The sequence below is a fragment of the Homo sapiens genome, chromosome 12, assembly GCF_000001405.40.
Source record: "Homo sapiens chromosome 12, GRCh38.p14 Primary Assembly".
Taxonomy (NCBI): domain Eukaryota; kingdom Metazoa; phylum Chordata; class Mammalia; order Primates; family Hominidae; genus Homo; species Homo sapiens.
In genome coordinates this window covers 24,195,856-24,212,635 of record NC_000012.12, presented here as the reverse complement: position 1 = coordinate 24,212,635, position 16,780 = coordinate 24,195,856, and the positions used below count along the sequence as shown (strand labels likewise).

The following is a 16,780-nucleotide window of genomic DNA, read 5'->3' as shown; positions in this document are numbered from 1 at the left end:
TGTGTGTTCATTCCTGGGTCCAGGGAAGTGTCTTGGTTGTTTCAACAATGCTCACAACTCTCACTATTATTGCTTAGTTATGAGTGAAGACTTGGTGGTCCCCTCCTTCCTTGTAATCCTTCCTTCCTTGTAACCCCTCCCGTGTTACTGCTTCCACAGCTCCCCTGGAGTGTGTCTTAGCTCCTACACATCCAGGTCTTCTGTAGAACAACTACCAGTGGCTTTTTCAGTTTTCATTATACAGAGAGATAAATGTCTTTGTCCTTCAGTGTGATCAGATCTCTTCAATTAAAATGACTTACTCCTAAAGGAACTAAGCTTAAAGTTATTCTATCTGGATGCCTCAGAGATTTTGTTATGTTTTAGCATGAACATTAGGACATTAGGGATTGGACACATTTTTATTGGCATGTACCTTGAGAGAACACTCCTTACCCGCTTAAAGGGAAGATAAATTTCGACTATATCTTCATGCAATGCATATGCTTAACTCTCTGCTTTTAGCTAAATGGTAAGAGTCCTGCAAAAAGCTGTATTTAAAATGATACGCCAAAGTAAGTGTGTCTGCACTGATTCTTGCAGAGTTAAGAACCACTCTTCAATGATACTTTGATAAAGAGTATTCTGATAATAAACATTCCCAAATTTTTAGTTTGCAAATATTATGGAAATAAACATTAAAACCAAATAAGTTGAAGCTAAACGTTGTGGATGTTCTTGTCATCCAACAATTATATAAATATTGGCCTTAAATTGAATACACTTGTTGTTTGGCTTTCACATGTTTGGAAGCAAAATAAAGAAGGAAGGGACAAACATCTCATAGATCCCTGTAGTCTTATGAGACAGAAAGAAACTTGGTCCAATCAACTTATTTCACAAGTCTAAATAACTCTCCTCTGTCACATGGAACATTAGTAACAGAACTAAATCTATGTTTCTTGGCATGATGCAGGTCTACTACATTATGCTACCTCACAGGTTATGGAACACAAATCATTCTGTATACTACATTGTGCACACACATAAAAATACCATCATATTTGCCATTTTGCCAACTTATCATTTGATAAAGAATGCTATTGGTACTAACACTTCACTTTGGATTATACTAATATTCAAAGAAATCAAGAACTTAAAAATGTTTTTGATAGAGTCATTTCCCTGGAGAAGTTTTCTGTTTAGCTAGATGAAATAAAAAGATGATTATCCATTCATTAATTCATTTATTCATACAAGGAAAATTCCTACTCTCCCAGAGCTTTCATTCCTATGGAAGAAAACATAAAGTGAAGATTTTGATGTGTATGTCAGTGGGGATAAGTACTAAGAAGAAAAATAAAGCAGAGATACTAGAGAACACTGAAATACCTCCTCAGATACACTGTCTAGGGAAAGGCTCTTTGATAAGGAGAGAATGGAATAGAGGACTGAATGGAGTAAGAGAACAATTTCAAAATGTGGGGGAAGAGAGGTACATTCAACAGGAAGAGTCAGTATGAAGAGTGTGCTTGGTGTGTTGAAGGAATGGCAAGGGCAGTGGCAGGAAGACAGGAGCAGACAAGTGAGAGATGACGCTATGGAGGGTGAGTGGTGTTCATCATTTACAGCCTGGTAGACCATAATAGGACCTTGACTATTATTCTGAGGGAGATGGAGATCATTAAAGGAATCTTAGCAGATGAGGAGCATGTTATGGTTCATATGTTTTAAGGATCAGTCTCACTTACAAGTTGTGTACATCATTTAAAAAATGTCCCTTTATAGACAGAATCTAAATTATGAGTAAAAATAGATTTAATAATGATTAGGGCAACATTGTCTAACCAGGATATTGACTGATGATTGTGTTCAAGGGGCTAATGTTAGATAATACAGCTATCCTTTTTCTTTTCCATGTCTTTAATTCACAGAATTCTCTTGAGTTTGAATTACGGTTTTTGGCTTTGTATAATAACATTGTTTTATAATAGGGACCTTAATGATAATGATATATAATATTTAAAAATTGTGTGCATTCAGTTAGTTACTTGGCACAGCTGAATTTCTCATTTGTTTGCCATTTATCATTTCAACCCTAACCACATAACTTTCTGTAAGTCCAGAAAGAAGTCCTGAATTTTATCTCCTATTTGAAAGAGAAGATGTTTGAAAATTATGTAACTCTTTTATTATAATTATCCCAATCCATGAGACTATTTATGAGCAGGAAAGACAGAGTAGTTGAAACAAATCAATTTAGTATGAATTAGCAGGCATGAATTCTGGAGGCAGCTCTGAAACTTACTAGCTGGGTGACTTGCCATCTTTGACCTCTGTTTGCCTCCTCCATGACCTATGGGAGAAGTGCAGTGTTGTTATTGCTGCAGTTCCTTCACATTTGTCAAGCCATTGTACACATATTAGGTAATAAAGAGAAAATGGGTGAATAAAGAGTTACTTACATTAGAAGTAACCATTTATAATACAAAATGAGAAAATAAGGGATATGGTTTCATATAAATAACAGAGGATAACATCCATATATATTTTCAGAAAATTATTAGGTTAAAGTAGATATTATTGATACTTGGAAGGAAGGATTATTTCTTTTTTTTTTTTTTTTTTTTTTTTTTTTTGAGACGGAGTCTCGCTCTGTCGCCCAGGCTGGAGTGCAGTGGCGGGATCTCGGCTCACTGCAAGCTCCGCCTCCCGGGTTCATGCCATTCTCCTGTCTCAGCCTCCCAAGTAGCTGGGACTACAGGCGCCCGCCACTACGCCCGGCTAATTTTTTGTATTTTTAGTAGAGACGGGGTTTCACCGTTTTAGCCAGGATGGTCTCGATCTCCTGACCTCGTGATCCGCCCGCCTCGGCCTCCCAAAGTGCTGGGATTACAGGCGTGAGCCACCGCGCCCGGCCGGAAGGATTATTTCTAAAAGTGTCATTTCTATCATGTGAAGAATCAAAATAAATATTTAAAAAGTAATTTGGGAGGTGGGGAGTGCCTTCTACTAGCAATCTTGTGGCAGCAGTTTTCAATTGCCAAATAAGTATTTACCAAAAAGTTTTCACATTTCTAATTAATGCATTAGAAACTATTTTAAAACTCTACCTAAGTTATCTAGGCTTAGATTTTCATGATTTGCCTATCAGAATATTCATGCAACAAAAATACATACATACATACCTGCTTATGAATATTTAATATTATTTTCCTAAAAAATATTATTCTAAATTCTTTCCTTTTCAGTCATAAGAATAAGAATCATTTTTATCATTCAACTGATAAATAAGGAAATTATTCTTTGACATTATTTTTTGGAGAGGGCATGCCTACTTCCACTTCACATATTCATCTAAGATTGTTTTTGAGTCTGCAGTGATTCCTGTCACTTTCTGCCACAGACAGTGGAGGAAATTCTCCACTCCCATAAGAGTTAGTTCCTCCACCTATGCTTACCCATTGCCTGTTCAACAAACTTTGATTCCCTTCTCCAGTACCTTCAACTTCTTCTGCATTACTAGAAGCAAAATATTTAAATGCTCAAATTTCTCATCTAAAAACAAATAAAAACTTTTTTTAAATTTTACTTTTTCCTTTAGCTACCACTCCCTTCATGTACAAATTTCCCTAAAGCCTTATCTTAAATTGCAGTCATTTTCTTTTCTCCTCCTCAATCCTCTACACTCTTCCGCTTCTGTCATGCCAAATCTTGCTAAGATCATCAATAACCGTTATCATGCTAAATCCAAAAGGTATTTTTTAGTCATTGTCTTATTTCATCCTCAGTTTCATTCAGCTGCATGAATGACTTTCCAACCCTCACCCCATTTTTTTGGTTGTTTTTGAAGGACTATCTTCCCTCTGCTTTTCACTTGGAAGTAAACCTGTCTTGTTCTCCACTTCATCCCTAACACACTATTTAAAGTGCTTTCTAATAGCATGTGTTGAATAAATTTGGCGTGAAGAGCTGTAGCCAAATGAATACGATGTGAAATCCAATGCCATAAAGGCTGCAAAAGATCTACAAGGTGACAGTGTATAAGGCTTCATAGAAAAGAGAAAGTTCCATAGACAAGGCAGTATTTGAGCTGGGCTTTAAAGGATGCATATGATTTTGCCCAGCAGAGATGTTGGACAGTGGGAAGATTGCCAAGGATATATTTAAAGCTCTGGTGTCTTATGTTCCTCTTGGGCTTGAGTTTGGATGCAACACAGGGGATACAAAAGGAAAATAGTGACTATAAAGGTAAGTTGGGTTCAAATAATAAGAAGACTTTGAATCTTATGCTAAGTGGTTTGTCCTAACTCCACAGGACTTGGGGAGTCATTAAAACTTTTTGTTTGTCTTGGGAAAGTAGGGTGATGATTAGGGCTGTGCCTTGGATTAATTAATTCTTATGATGTCACTCTGAGGCTGACTGATTTATAAACTGTATGGCTATAAGAAGGAAGATAGAATACTAATGCAATCATGAAGTAAGAGTTCAGGAAAGTCAGGCGTGAGTGGTAACACCAGGGTGCAGATACAAGCAGAAATCTGAAGATGGAATCCATAGGGTTTGATGTCCTCCTAGAGTGCTAAGGGATCAATTTCAACTTTGAATAATGGAAATAAAGGCCTTGCAATTCACAGATATAGGAAATCACAAAAAGCAGTTTGTTTTTACTGATTTATTCTTTTTTAAAAATTTTTGTCAGAGGGCATGAATTGTTTTGAGAGTCTTTATATTTGAGTTACCAATACTGATATATTGAGGAAGTAAGTATTCCACATTGGAGATTCTGGAACATGGCACGAGAGTTGACGATGCAGCTATATGAATTTAAACTTGATGCTGAAAGTTGCCTCCTTAGTGGAAGAAGGGCAATCTAGACTGAGGGGATAGCCTGCAAGACGAGGGTGCTGAATGCCATGTAGAATTTTGAAGATCGCATGGAATAGTGGAAATAGAAGAAACTCTCAAGTTTGAGTTGTAGCTTTGCTGCTTTACAAACTATATGGTCTTGAAGTAGCATTTGGTTTGTTTATTCATTTATTTATCTTTAATATCTGCCCAGGGCCCTCCTGAGTGGTCTGCAAACAGTAAGCACTAAATGCAGGCTTTATTGGCTCACTAGGATATAATCATTTCTACATTATGGATTTTTTTGAAGTATCAAAAGTTGTTTGTGTATTCATTCATTTATTCATTCATATATTCTTACTGAGTCTTACTCTGTGACAGGCACCCTTATTATATTGCCTGACTTCTCCTCCATCTCATTTCTTGGCTAGTATTTTCATTGGTTGAACGTGGCGATATTGTTCTCGGTTATAGGAAAAATATTGATTGATTTAGATCCCATCCATCTATAGAGTCATGCCATTTACATCTCAGACTACATTTCCTCAAGTTGGTTGAGATAGCTCCAAAAGGAAGTGATGGCGAATGTTGCCTTTACTTTTACAATAACAGAAAAGGATCTTTCTGCTGATTTCATTTAGACGCTTACAGTAAAATATTTAACTCACAAATGATTTAAATCATCCTCTTTAACAGTAGTTAAACACACTGATGTTACAGAGATCTGCCAAACATAACTATTATCATATGACTACTGAGAAGTTTTTGGACAGAAGTGCTCGTTAGAAGAGGGGAGCCCTATTCCCTGAATGCTGAATGAGTGCTTGCCTGGGGTGTCCCCAGAAATAGGAGCTGACACAGGTGTTCGGCACAGTTGCTTACTGCTTCCCATCAAGAAGGATGGGAGGATCTTAGCACTACTGGTTTGTGGCACTCAGCTTATTTGGCAAGCAGTCAGCTCTGGCTGTGGATTTCCCTGGGGAAAATACAAGCCACAGGGAAGTCATCAGTGTGACCTTCTGCTGGGTAGTTGGCACACAGTTGCACAGGAAAGCTTTCAGTTGTCATTTTCTGAATGGGGAGAGATCAGGTGCTGATGGAGGCTCCCCATCCAAGGTGGAAGGTGGAGAAGGAAACCAGTATTGAACAGAAGCTTACCAAATAATTCCCAGTCACGAAGCTGTACACCAGTGGATCTGCTGATAAAAAGGATTCTTGGGGGGAGGCGGTTGATGTTTTTTGGGGGGTTTCTTTGGTTCCGTAAGCGTAATTACAAGCTTTCCTGTTGAAGTCTGACCCATCATACTGAAATGCTGTCACTAGTATCATTAGCAAGTAAAGTGTTGATAACATAGTCAAATGCACAGCAGAGTTCTGGCTCTTAAGTGTCTGGACTAACTCCCAATATTAGGAATAGGAGTCAAACTGCCATCACTTTTCCTGTGCTAACAGACGCCCTGCCATTAGCAGTCTGAAGGCAATTTTAATAAAATACATAGTCCTGCTGAGTTGGTCTCAAAAGATAAATACGCAATGCAGAAAAGAAGCTTTTGTTTAAAAGTAATTATTTAAACTATGTATTACAGGTAATTTTCTTCTACCAGTAAGGCAAATGCTATCAGAATTTCAATAATGATTTTTTGGCTCTTATCTAAATAATATGATATTGTCATTTCTAAGAGTTAAAGCAGCGCTTATTTTTACTTATATACAAAATGAGGGCAGATTGGACCCAGGTATCATGTGCATGTGTTTTACAGTTGATATTACATTTTTGGGTGAACAATGTTGTATTCTTGGACAGATTTATGGAAATGTAGCAAGCTGGTGAGAGAGCTCTGAGAACTACAGACTTGACTTGCAAACACAGATTAGAGCAGGAGGGCAAAGAACATCTTTTTATTTTTCCCTTTGCTGTCCAAAAGGAAATCAAATTTCAGTCTTTTAAAAGCTCTTTTAATAGGATGCTTGTACGTAAACCACAGTCACAAGGGTATAATAAATGTGTGCATGTATCCGAGGAGCCAGGGCTTTGTTCACCAAAAGGTAAAAAGCTCAGAAAGCTTTCTTAAGAGTCTATTTGGAAACCATTGAAGCCACCGCCTTTTCTTGCCTTCCTACTAGCATGAAATCCTTAAATTAATATAGAATTAGCTCTGTCCTTACAGGAGGCAGAGTGAGAACTTGCTTATCTAAGTGGGATGCAATGGGTATGAGGAAGGTTCCTATTTCTCTCTGCTGCTCTTTGGAATGAGACAGACATCAGTTCACATTCCACTCAACTCCCTTTTATCATGATCTATCACCTTAGACGAGTTATTTGTCATCTTTGTCAAGCCTTTGTTTCCTCATCTATAAAATTAGTATAAGAATAACACGAGCCTTGTATGATTGTTTTGAGGATGTAATGAGATGATACATGTAAAATATTTGGGGTGGTGTCTGGCACAGAAGCAGCACTCAGGAAATGCTCATTTATATTTGAATGAGCTATTAACAAAATTTTATCAGGGAAAGCACAATGTTGAACATTGTGCTAGGAGTTGGGATAAGTATATTGAGTAATATATGGTGTCTACTTCAAAAGTGTAAAGCCTAATGCAAGACAGGCATTTAAGCAGATAACTTAAGTACTGTATGCCACTTGTTGTAATGTGAGTATAGATCTTGGGGACATAAAGAAGGCACGGCTTAATCTTGGCCATGGGAAAAATTACTGCAAAATCTTCTTGATTTGTTAAGCTTTCAAAGAGAAGACGCTAAGCTGTATAGTTTCATCCTGAGCTGTTGTGATCAAAGCCAACTATTTTTTTTCCAAGAGTGATTTTTTTCCCAGCTCCTTGTTTTTTCTGTTCTTCTTCCTTTACATTTATGTAAACCTTTTCCTTAATTGTTAGCACCATGGTTAGATGATATCTATAGGCAGTGAGAGGAGGTAAACATGAATTAACCATTCACATGCTGCTCAGCATCTTGCTAAAATGATTTCAGGGAGAGTTAGAAACACAGGCTTTATTCTCATACATTGCTGATGGGAATGCAAAGTGATACAAGCCTTTGGGAGAGAAGTTGGTGATGTCTAAACAAATCTACATACACACTGAACCTTTTGACCCAGCAATGCCACTTTTCGGAATTAATCCTGAAGACACAATATCAACAATATTAAAACTAGCCTGGGTTGGGGGTGGTAGCTCACGCCTGTAATCTTAACACTTTGGGAGGCTGAGGCAGGTGGATCACTTGAGGGCAGGAGTTTGAGACCAGCCTGGCTAACATGGTAAAACCTTGTCTCTACTAAAAATACAAAAATTAGTCAGACATGGTAGTGGCCACCCATAATCCCAGTTACTCAGGAAGCCGAGGCATGAAAATCACTTGAACCCAAGAGGTGGAGGTTGCAGTGAGCCGGAATTGTGCCACTGCACTCCAGCCTGGGCGACAGAGTGGAAGTCCATCTCAAATAATAATAATAATAATTAATAATAATAATAATAATGGAAAAATAAAACTATATACCCAAGATTATTCATCATGACATTGTTTATAATTGTAACATATTAAAAACTATCTAAATGTTCATGCAGAGGAGGCTAGTTGAAGAAAACAGAATGAAGAACATCATCTGGAATGGAAGTAAAATAAGAAAGTATGTATGTATCTGCTAATTGGAACCAAGAATAGGAAGGACAAACCAGAAATTAATGAAACTGATTAATTACACTAGTTGGGCCCAGGGGAAGGGGATAGAGAGAATGGGAATAGGGAGCAAGAGTGAAGAGGTGATAGGGAGTGACATTTATCTGAATGGACTTTTTTGGTGTAGTTCTGATTTTTGGAACTGTGTTAATATTTCACATACTCAAAACGTAAATAATTGAAGTGAATTAGAGTATTCAGGGTACCCCACATGAAATATTAAAAAATAGCAAGAAAACTTAACCATATTCTTAGGAATTACAGATGAAGGAAGTGGATAAAAAAGAGCTAATCTAAGTAACTGCCAAACAGTAATTGGCGTTTATACTCTAAAATTTTTTAAAAATGAACAAAAAAGAACTGTTGTACTCTTATCAGAATATTTGTATTTCACAAGATATGGGTGAGTGATTCAATTTTTTACAGGGGTGAGATTAAGCATTTCCAAAACTGATTCAAATGTCTCCTAGGATTGTGGATGAGGGCTATTTTCTCTCTGTCAAAGAAAGGAAGAGGGCTAGAATGAAGCCTGGTTATTAGATTTTTATCTTAGATATCAAGAAAAATATGTATCACAGATATACAAATAATGAAATGGGAGTATATGCGTGTGTTCATTTAAATATTCCCAGCTCTATCTGCTGAGAGGGCCTAGAAGCATTAACACCCCAGTGGTGGTGAGCACATTTGGTACCTAGTTCTTGGTTTCTAAATATCATTCTCTAGCAAAAGAAACCAAGAATCCTTGTAGAAATGGATGATTCCAGGGCCAGAACCAGAAACATGTCATAAAAGTCTGGAACATCTTTTGGTCCCAGAAAGTAGGGAAGGAGTAAACAATGATGAAAACATTGAAATAACGCAGGATCCACCCTGAAGTAGCTCCCTATTTCCAAATTCGGGACATTTGAGCAAGAAAATAATGAAAGTAATAGGATATTCTCAATATAGTCCATAAGGTTGTAAGAAAGTATTGAACAAATAAATAAGTGAGGGAGAAAAGAAAGCTCTTTCTTAACAGTAAGAATGCCAATTAAGAGGAATGATGGAAATAGAAAGTCACCATTTGGTAAACACCACAGTCATAATAGTTTCAGGCAAGAATCATCAAATGGATGCTAAATTTGTGGGTGAAAATATAATGATAAATAGGATATTTACAGAGTATCAACATATCTCCTCTCAAAATACTTATTAATTATAAAAGGAAAGTAGTAACTTTACAGTGGAAAAACCTGGCAGACACCACCTAAAACAAATGATCAAAGTTAACATCACCAGTAATGAGATATATCACCATCATGTGCCTCTCATATGATTCACTGAGAAAGGCACAAAAAGTAATTTCTGTCATGTTCTTGCCAAAAGTGCATAACATGAATTTAATCACGAAGAAATATCAGACAACCCAAAAGGGACATACTACAAAATAACCTGGCAGGACCCTTAAAAAGTGTGAAGGTCATTAAAAACAAAGAAAGATTGAAGAACTGTCCCAGATGGAAAGAGATGAAGAAAACATGACAACTAAATATTGGCTCATAGTCCAAGAAAAACACATTAGTGGGTCAATTGTTGATATTTCAATGAGGGCCATAGATCATCAAATCATGTATGAATGTATCAATGTTAATCTTTTGGTTTTGATGATTGTATTATTGGTTCTATAATATGTTAATTTGTGGGAACCTGAGTAAAGAATATATGGACACTCTGTACTATTTTTGCATTTTTTAAGCCTGAAATTATTTCAGAATGAAAAGTTAAATTGGAAGATAAAAATTGTGTGCCTTAAATAAAATGTATGTATGTATTATCCATTCATCTTTATTATCCATTGCTATATAAAAGGATGACTTCAATAGACTCTAGGAAGAAAGGAGAATTGTAATAGAGTGATAGGTATGTTACACTGTGAACTGGGTCCTATTTTGTTAACTTGCTCTGTCACCCACTGTGTAAACCCCGGGGATACTTTCTATACTTTTATATTTTGCTAGTCTATTTGCCAATAACATAGAAATAATGATCTAGCAAGACTGTTTGTAATTATTCACACCAATGGAGGAGAGCAGAGATGTCAAGTATGGAGCCCACAAACAATAATTTTAAGAAGCACTCAAGTGAAGATCAAGGTTTAATGCCAATGAAGAGCCAAGTGTATTCTGGTAGATGTAAAACTCCAGCTATACAAATGTTTTCATAGAGGGAAAGCAGAGCTAGTACATTAAGTTCCATCGATGTGTGTTAAGAGATCAGTAATCAAACAAAAGCTGGAAAGGAAGTAAGGGGCACAGTATCGGTGCAGCCATCCAGTCAGTCTCCAAGGGCCCAGGTTAAGTTAAAAACAATGTCTGATGACTCACACCTCCCAAAGCTTGATGGTGCCAGTGAGATGGGGGTAGTACTCACTAATACTCTGTGACAACATTAAAGGACTAGGGTAAAGGATCGATAGCAACTTGAGAGTTAGCAGAGTTCTGTGCAACACCAGCTTGTTTTCACACACATTGATGTTAAAGTTTTTTTGTGTTCAAAATAGTTACAAGATGTCAGCAGAGAGATTGACATCATTAACTATATTTTATAGATGAGGAAACTGAAATTCAGAGTTTCTCAAATTATACTGCTAGTAGAGAATGGACTTGCACTGTAGACCAGGGTATTCATTTGAGTCCTTGAACCTTTTAGCATCAGGAAACTCCCTAGAAGTACATGAAATGTTTGTGTATAAGACTATGCAGGTGCATTTTTTTTTTTCCTGAGAAAAGGATACAAATCATGTGATTTTATCAGATTTTCAAAGGAGTCTGTGACCTAAAACATAACAAAATATAAAATTTTCTTTCCACATGAGCGCACAACATGGAGTGGAAATACTTTTGCTGGACTTGGGAGTATATAACTCTTACAGTACATATAAGAAGCATCAGTATGAAAGTAAATGATTTAACAGAGAGATTCTGGGACTTGCCCAGAATCACAAGAGTTAGTGCCTAAGTAAAACCAGAACTCTAGCTGTCCACAATTTCAGGGAATTGGTTTTCCTATTGACCATGTTATGAATTGTTGGGTGTATAGTTCTGTGATAGTTCCTCCCTGACCAGGGAGGTGGAGGTCTGGTTCCCAGGTCTGGTACCAGTGGAGGACGTCAGATCCAAAGGAACCTTGAGCAGCAACTGAATTCCAGTGCTCTGCTGAGACATCAATTAGCATTTTGAGCATAAGGGCAATTTGAATAAAATTCTGTGGATTGTTTGAGAATTCTCTAGGTGGAATTAGGAAGTATGGTAGAATTATCTTACCTGTGTGGAAGGAAAATGTCTTTTAAATAATGGCAGAGGCCTTAGGGTGAGCATTCTGATTGTGTTGTCTCATCTGGCACCTGCAATACCTGCCAGAGTTTTAGCTTCCTAAATTACTCTGGGGCATTAGAGAAGATCCTTCTGTCCAGAGATATTGTACTTCTTTGAAGAATACTTTGAATGAGATTTGAGTTTCTATATAGCTTTGACATTTGCCAAAAAGGTTACAGTATCCACAGACACCCAAATGTTGTCCCTATATATGAGTGTGCGTGTTTTCACGGCAGCGTAGATCAAATTAAAAAAAAAAAAGTAACACTTTACTATTACAATCAGAGTTCCTTATCATTCATGTATATGCACACATAGTAAGTATATGTATATTTGACTTTCAAACCCAAGATTTATAAAAGACTTAAGATGTATTATAAAGATCTTACAGAACTTAAAATTTAATCTAATCACCAATGATTGAGAGAGTAGTAAGGACTCTAAGAGCTGGCTAACCTTATCTAAGTCACTGCTTTTGTGGACAAGGAACTGAAGCTCAGAGAGGTTAAATTTTGCATCATTTTACACAGTTAATAAGTGACAGAGCCAGAAAAAGTACCCAGATTTCCTGATTCCTAGCCCAGTTTTCTTTTCACTATGGCATAGTGCCTTATGACACATATGAGATTAGAGCAAAATTGTATTTGTTGAAATGCATGAGAAGTGTTGTGGGTCTTTTGATGATGTTGTGTGGAAGGAGTGGGTTCATTCAATCCTTGATATTTTTCCCCCAGTTTTACACTTTAAAACTAATAAATGAATAATATCCTTTATCTATTTCAAATTAGTAAGATTCTACTGATTTTTTTTTTCTTTTCAGCAATCTGCCTATAGTTTTGGAACTTACTTACTTCTGTCAGAATAAATGTATGCACACATTTGAGTTACTAACTCTTGAGTTGCTAACCCACTAAGTGACTAATCTAAGAAATCACCTCTCTTGTTAGGTGCACTGGATTGCAAACGTCTTTTGATAATACTGCAGTGGTAGTGTAGGGATTTGCAACTGGCAGGCAGGAATTGAATTGCCATCATTTGGCTTTAGCAGGAGTTAGAGTCTTGTCTCCAACATAAGCATGAGCCAAGGTACTGTCTCCTTTTTTCTAATTTTAGTTGGAACCATTGGCACTGATCTTACCTAGACAGACTAGTGTTATTTCTACCCAGCACAATCTGCTGGGATGGGCTCTATTCCAAGCCATTCAGTTGAACTTCTCCCCCTGATTTACCAAACAGAGATATGATTGGATGTTGAGGTTAGAAGCTTTCACCCTTTTCATTAGAAGTCATCCGTTCAGACATAGAGATTCTAAGTTTAATTGGTTCAATGTATGACTCAGAAAGAATTGGCTGTTATGACTGAAAAATGCAGCATGCTTTAATTGTGGGTCAGGAAGTAATTACTGCGACATTTTGGTGCTGGGACTTAGATATTGATACATTTAACAGTACAGGGGTGAGCAAAATGGTGAGAAGTGATGTCTACTTTCCAGCCCTCACCTATCTTATTCTGGAACAGACGCATTGTACCGTTGTCCTGTCATGGTCTTTAATCATGGGCATCCATCCCTGCTGGCATCTCTCATGATCTCAGACACAGAGGCCGTGCTTTGGCTCATGTCTGCATCCTTACCACAATCCTCAGTGAGACCTCATCAGGCCGACAGTGCTCTCCCTCGACTAACTTTCACACCATTCGGATGAAAAGGGGACATCCCAGCCTCTCGGACCTTGATCATTTGTGCAGCCACGTCTGTACTCTTTTCTCCCTGCCTTAGTTTGTCATGGGATATCTGCAAGGCTGCCGTCTCACTGGAGCGCCACACGGGGAGCAGGCCATCAGTTCTCATTTTGCCCAGAGCCCAAGTATAAAAGGGTTTTTATTATTTTTCTATCCCACCCAAACCTCTGAATACTCTACATTTGCCCTGCAGGAATTAAAAGTGTAGTGACCTCATACTAGCATGTAAGGTCACTTTTTCCTGGTGAATCTTTCTTCTCCCTAAATCAAAAGTGCCAAAAACATTAACAGTCTTTTGCTATTACACATAAACAGTAATTTCTCATATGTAAAAGCACAGGAGTTTTGTTTTGTTTTCTTCTTTTTCCTGTGGTTGCTTGTGACCCAAATGTGAAAGACTGTCTGTGGAACGAAGAGGGTTAATGGATCGGGTTATTAGTTCGTATATCATCATGCAGAGGTCTCAGTGGCAAGTAGACGTGACACATACCCTGCCCTCCTGGGCTTACAGTGAGTTCACATGGAATTTATTGTTTTTTTGTTATTCTCTAAAACTATAGATAGAAGCATACCCACAAACAGCTCAATAGAGAGATCCAGATAAACAACTCGAAATAAAATGTTTAAGTTGTATGAAAAAGAGGACTTTGAAGTGTGTATCACTTCCCAAATATCTGTTTGAAAAATAGCAAATCATTATCCAAGTGGAAAAGAATGCTATAAATTTAAACCATTATTCCCTCCCCCTCCCCAACCCCTCCCTCTCCTTTCTTTTTACAATTGTTTCTGTTCTCATTTTGGATAGCGATTGTGGTAATAGGTCTGTGTTCCCTGCATACCACATGCATTGCTAACTTTTGCCTAGTTTTGAACGATGGATGGGCTGCTCTCTTATAGTGTGAGTAGCACAATAAGATTAATAATAATAAATAATTATGAAGCACTTAGATCTTGTTTTATGTGTGTTAGATGGAGTTTGTTAATTATCAGAGTTCTCAGTGCAGCCCTTTGAGATGGGTATCACTATTATCCTCATTTTACAGATGAGCAAGTTCATGCAGAGAAAGAGAGTGTGTGTCTAAGAGCATACAATGATAAGTGGGCAGACCAGGATTTTATTTGACACCAAACTGTGAGTCCCTATCACTTAGCAATTGTATTCAGCTTCAAGTAACAGGAACCCGAGTGACAGTGGATACGCGGATGCAGTCCAAGCCAGCTGTCTCCTCATGCTATCAGGGACCCAGACTTCTAACTCTCTCTTCCTCCACACTGGGGGCACATCTTCATGCTAATGCTCACAAGAGGGCTGGTAGGGCTGCAGCAGACCAGTGTTAGCTCGTGTCTAGGAAGGAAGTGGGAGAAGCACAAAGCACAGAGCAGGAAGGCCAAGACAGTCAGGGCTGTCCCCTTCTAAAAGGTTTTCACTGTATCCCGCCCCCACTTCCATTTACATCTCATTGCTGTAAGCAGGGTGCTGTTTGTCAAGCAGGAGCCAGGGAAGGGGTATTGGGTAGCCAGTTAGTGTTCTCTGCCACAGCTCCTAATCTCCTGTATGACTGCCTTTTCCAGTCTTAGTATAAAAATAGGGATAGAGAATATATATTTTTTTAATTTAAAGTCAACCATAAATTTTCCTTTGTCTAGGGTTTCCTTCACAGTTAAGCTTATTAGAATACACACATATAGGCCCACATCATATATCTCTTGACTGGAAGGGCACTCATCTTCTGACGGAATATTTTATATAGAGTCTTCAGCAAATATTTGGCACAGATCTGCTTTTAAGGGGCTATTAAATTGATCTGGAAATGAAAACCTGAGGCATCACCCAAGATTAGAGAAAATGTCAACCAATTGAAGCTTCTTTCTGCCTTCCAAAATGCTAATTGACAAACAGTTAGTTATGAGGATAGAAATGTTTTCCTATAGGCTAGGCCATTCTGAGTTGTACATTTTTCCTCTTCAAGCCTGGTGAAGCAAAAATTGTCAATCAGAATGTTATCTGCAGGAAGAAGTATGTTTTTAACTTCAGGAGGCTAAAATTCCATGAACTTATTTATTCTTTTGTATCCTAATGTTTGTTTTTGTTTTTGTTTTTTGTTTTTCAAGACAGGGTTTAGCTCTGTTACCCAGGCTGGAGTGCAGTGGTATGATCTCGACTCACTGCAACCTCCACCTCCCCGGCTCAAGCAATCCTCCCAACTCAGCCTCCTGAGTAGTTGGGACTCTAGGCTTGCACCACCACGCCTGGCTCATTTTTGTATTTTTGTTGAGATGGAGTTTTGCCATATTGCCCAGGCTGTTCTTGAACTCCTGGGCTCAAGTGAACAGCCCTCATTGGCCTCCCAATGTGTTGGGATTATAGGCATGAGCCACCGTGCCTGGCCCTAAAGTTTGAATATAAACAAGAGAGGTACTTTTAAGCAGTGAGATGGATTGGTTAAAGACTGTAGTAAAATATAAAGTGTGTGGCTTCTTCATCTGGTTGACCCCCCCTTAAAAAAGTTAACTTTATCTTTTTTGCTACTCCAGTTTCTCCATTTAGAAAATGCTGTTGTATATACAAGACCTGTCCATAGAGTTTATTTCAGTAAAATACATTACAATGGTGTGATAATTCACAGGAATTCTAACTCAGCACTAACTCAATACTGTTTTCTTTTTGTACATTGTTACTGTTTTATCATGTCATTGTGAGTGTTATTTACATATGATTTTTTAATTACAAACCGATCTTCAACTACTTTATTTCAGAATCACGTGCTTCACAGCAGATAGTACAAAGCTGGGCACAAACCAAATAAATACTTATTCACAGTTAATGGGCCAGGCGTGGTGGCTCACGCCTATAATCCCAGCACTTTGGGAGGCTGATGCAGGCGGATCACATGAGGCCAGAAACTCAAGACCAGCCTGTCCAACATGGCAAAACCCCATCTCTACTAAAAATACAAAAATTAGCTAGGCGTGGTGGCGCACGTATGTGATTCCAGCTACTCCAGCGTCTGAGGCAGGAGAATCGCTTGAACCTGGGAGGCAGAGGTTGCAGTGAGCCAAGATAACTCCACTGCACTCCAGCCTGGGCAACAGAATGAGACCCTGTTTCAAAACACACACACAGACACACACACATGCACAGAGTTTATGTATGGA

At 38.0% G+C, this 16,780-nt stretch overlaps 1 protein-coding gene and 1 non-coding gene across 21 annotated transcripts in view; one reads left to right on the top strand and one right to left on the bottom strand.

Annotated features, from left to right (window-relative positions):
* SOX5 (SRY-box transcription factor 5) overlaps positions 1-16,780 on the top strand; it is a 1,033,147-nt gene that overhangs the window by 350,015 nt on the left and 666,352 nt on the right. The gene's annotated exons all lie outside the window — the stretch shown is intronic.
* Positions 141-215, bottom strand: MIR920 (microRNA 920). The gene has a single exon (NR_030625.1). It is a non-coding gene; the product is annotated as a microRNA 920 (primary transcript).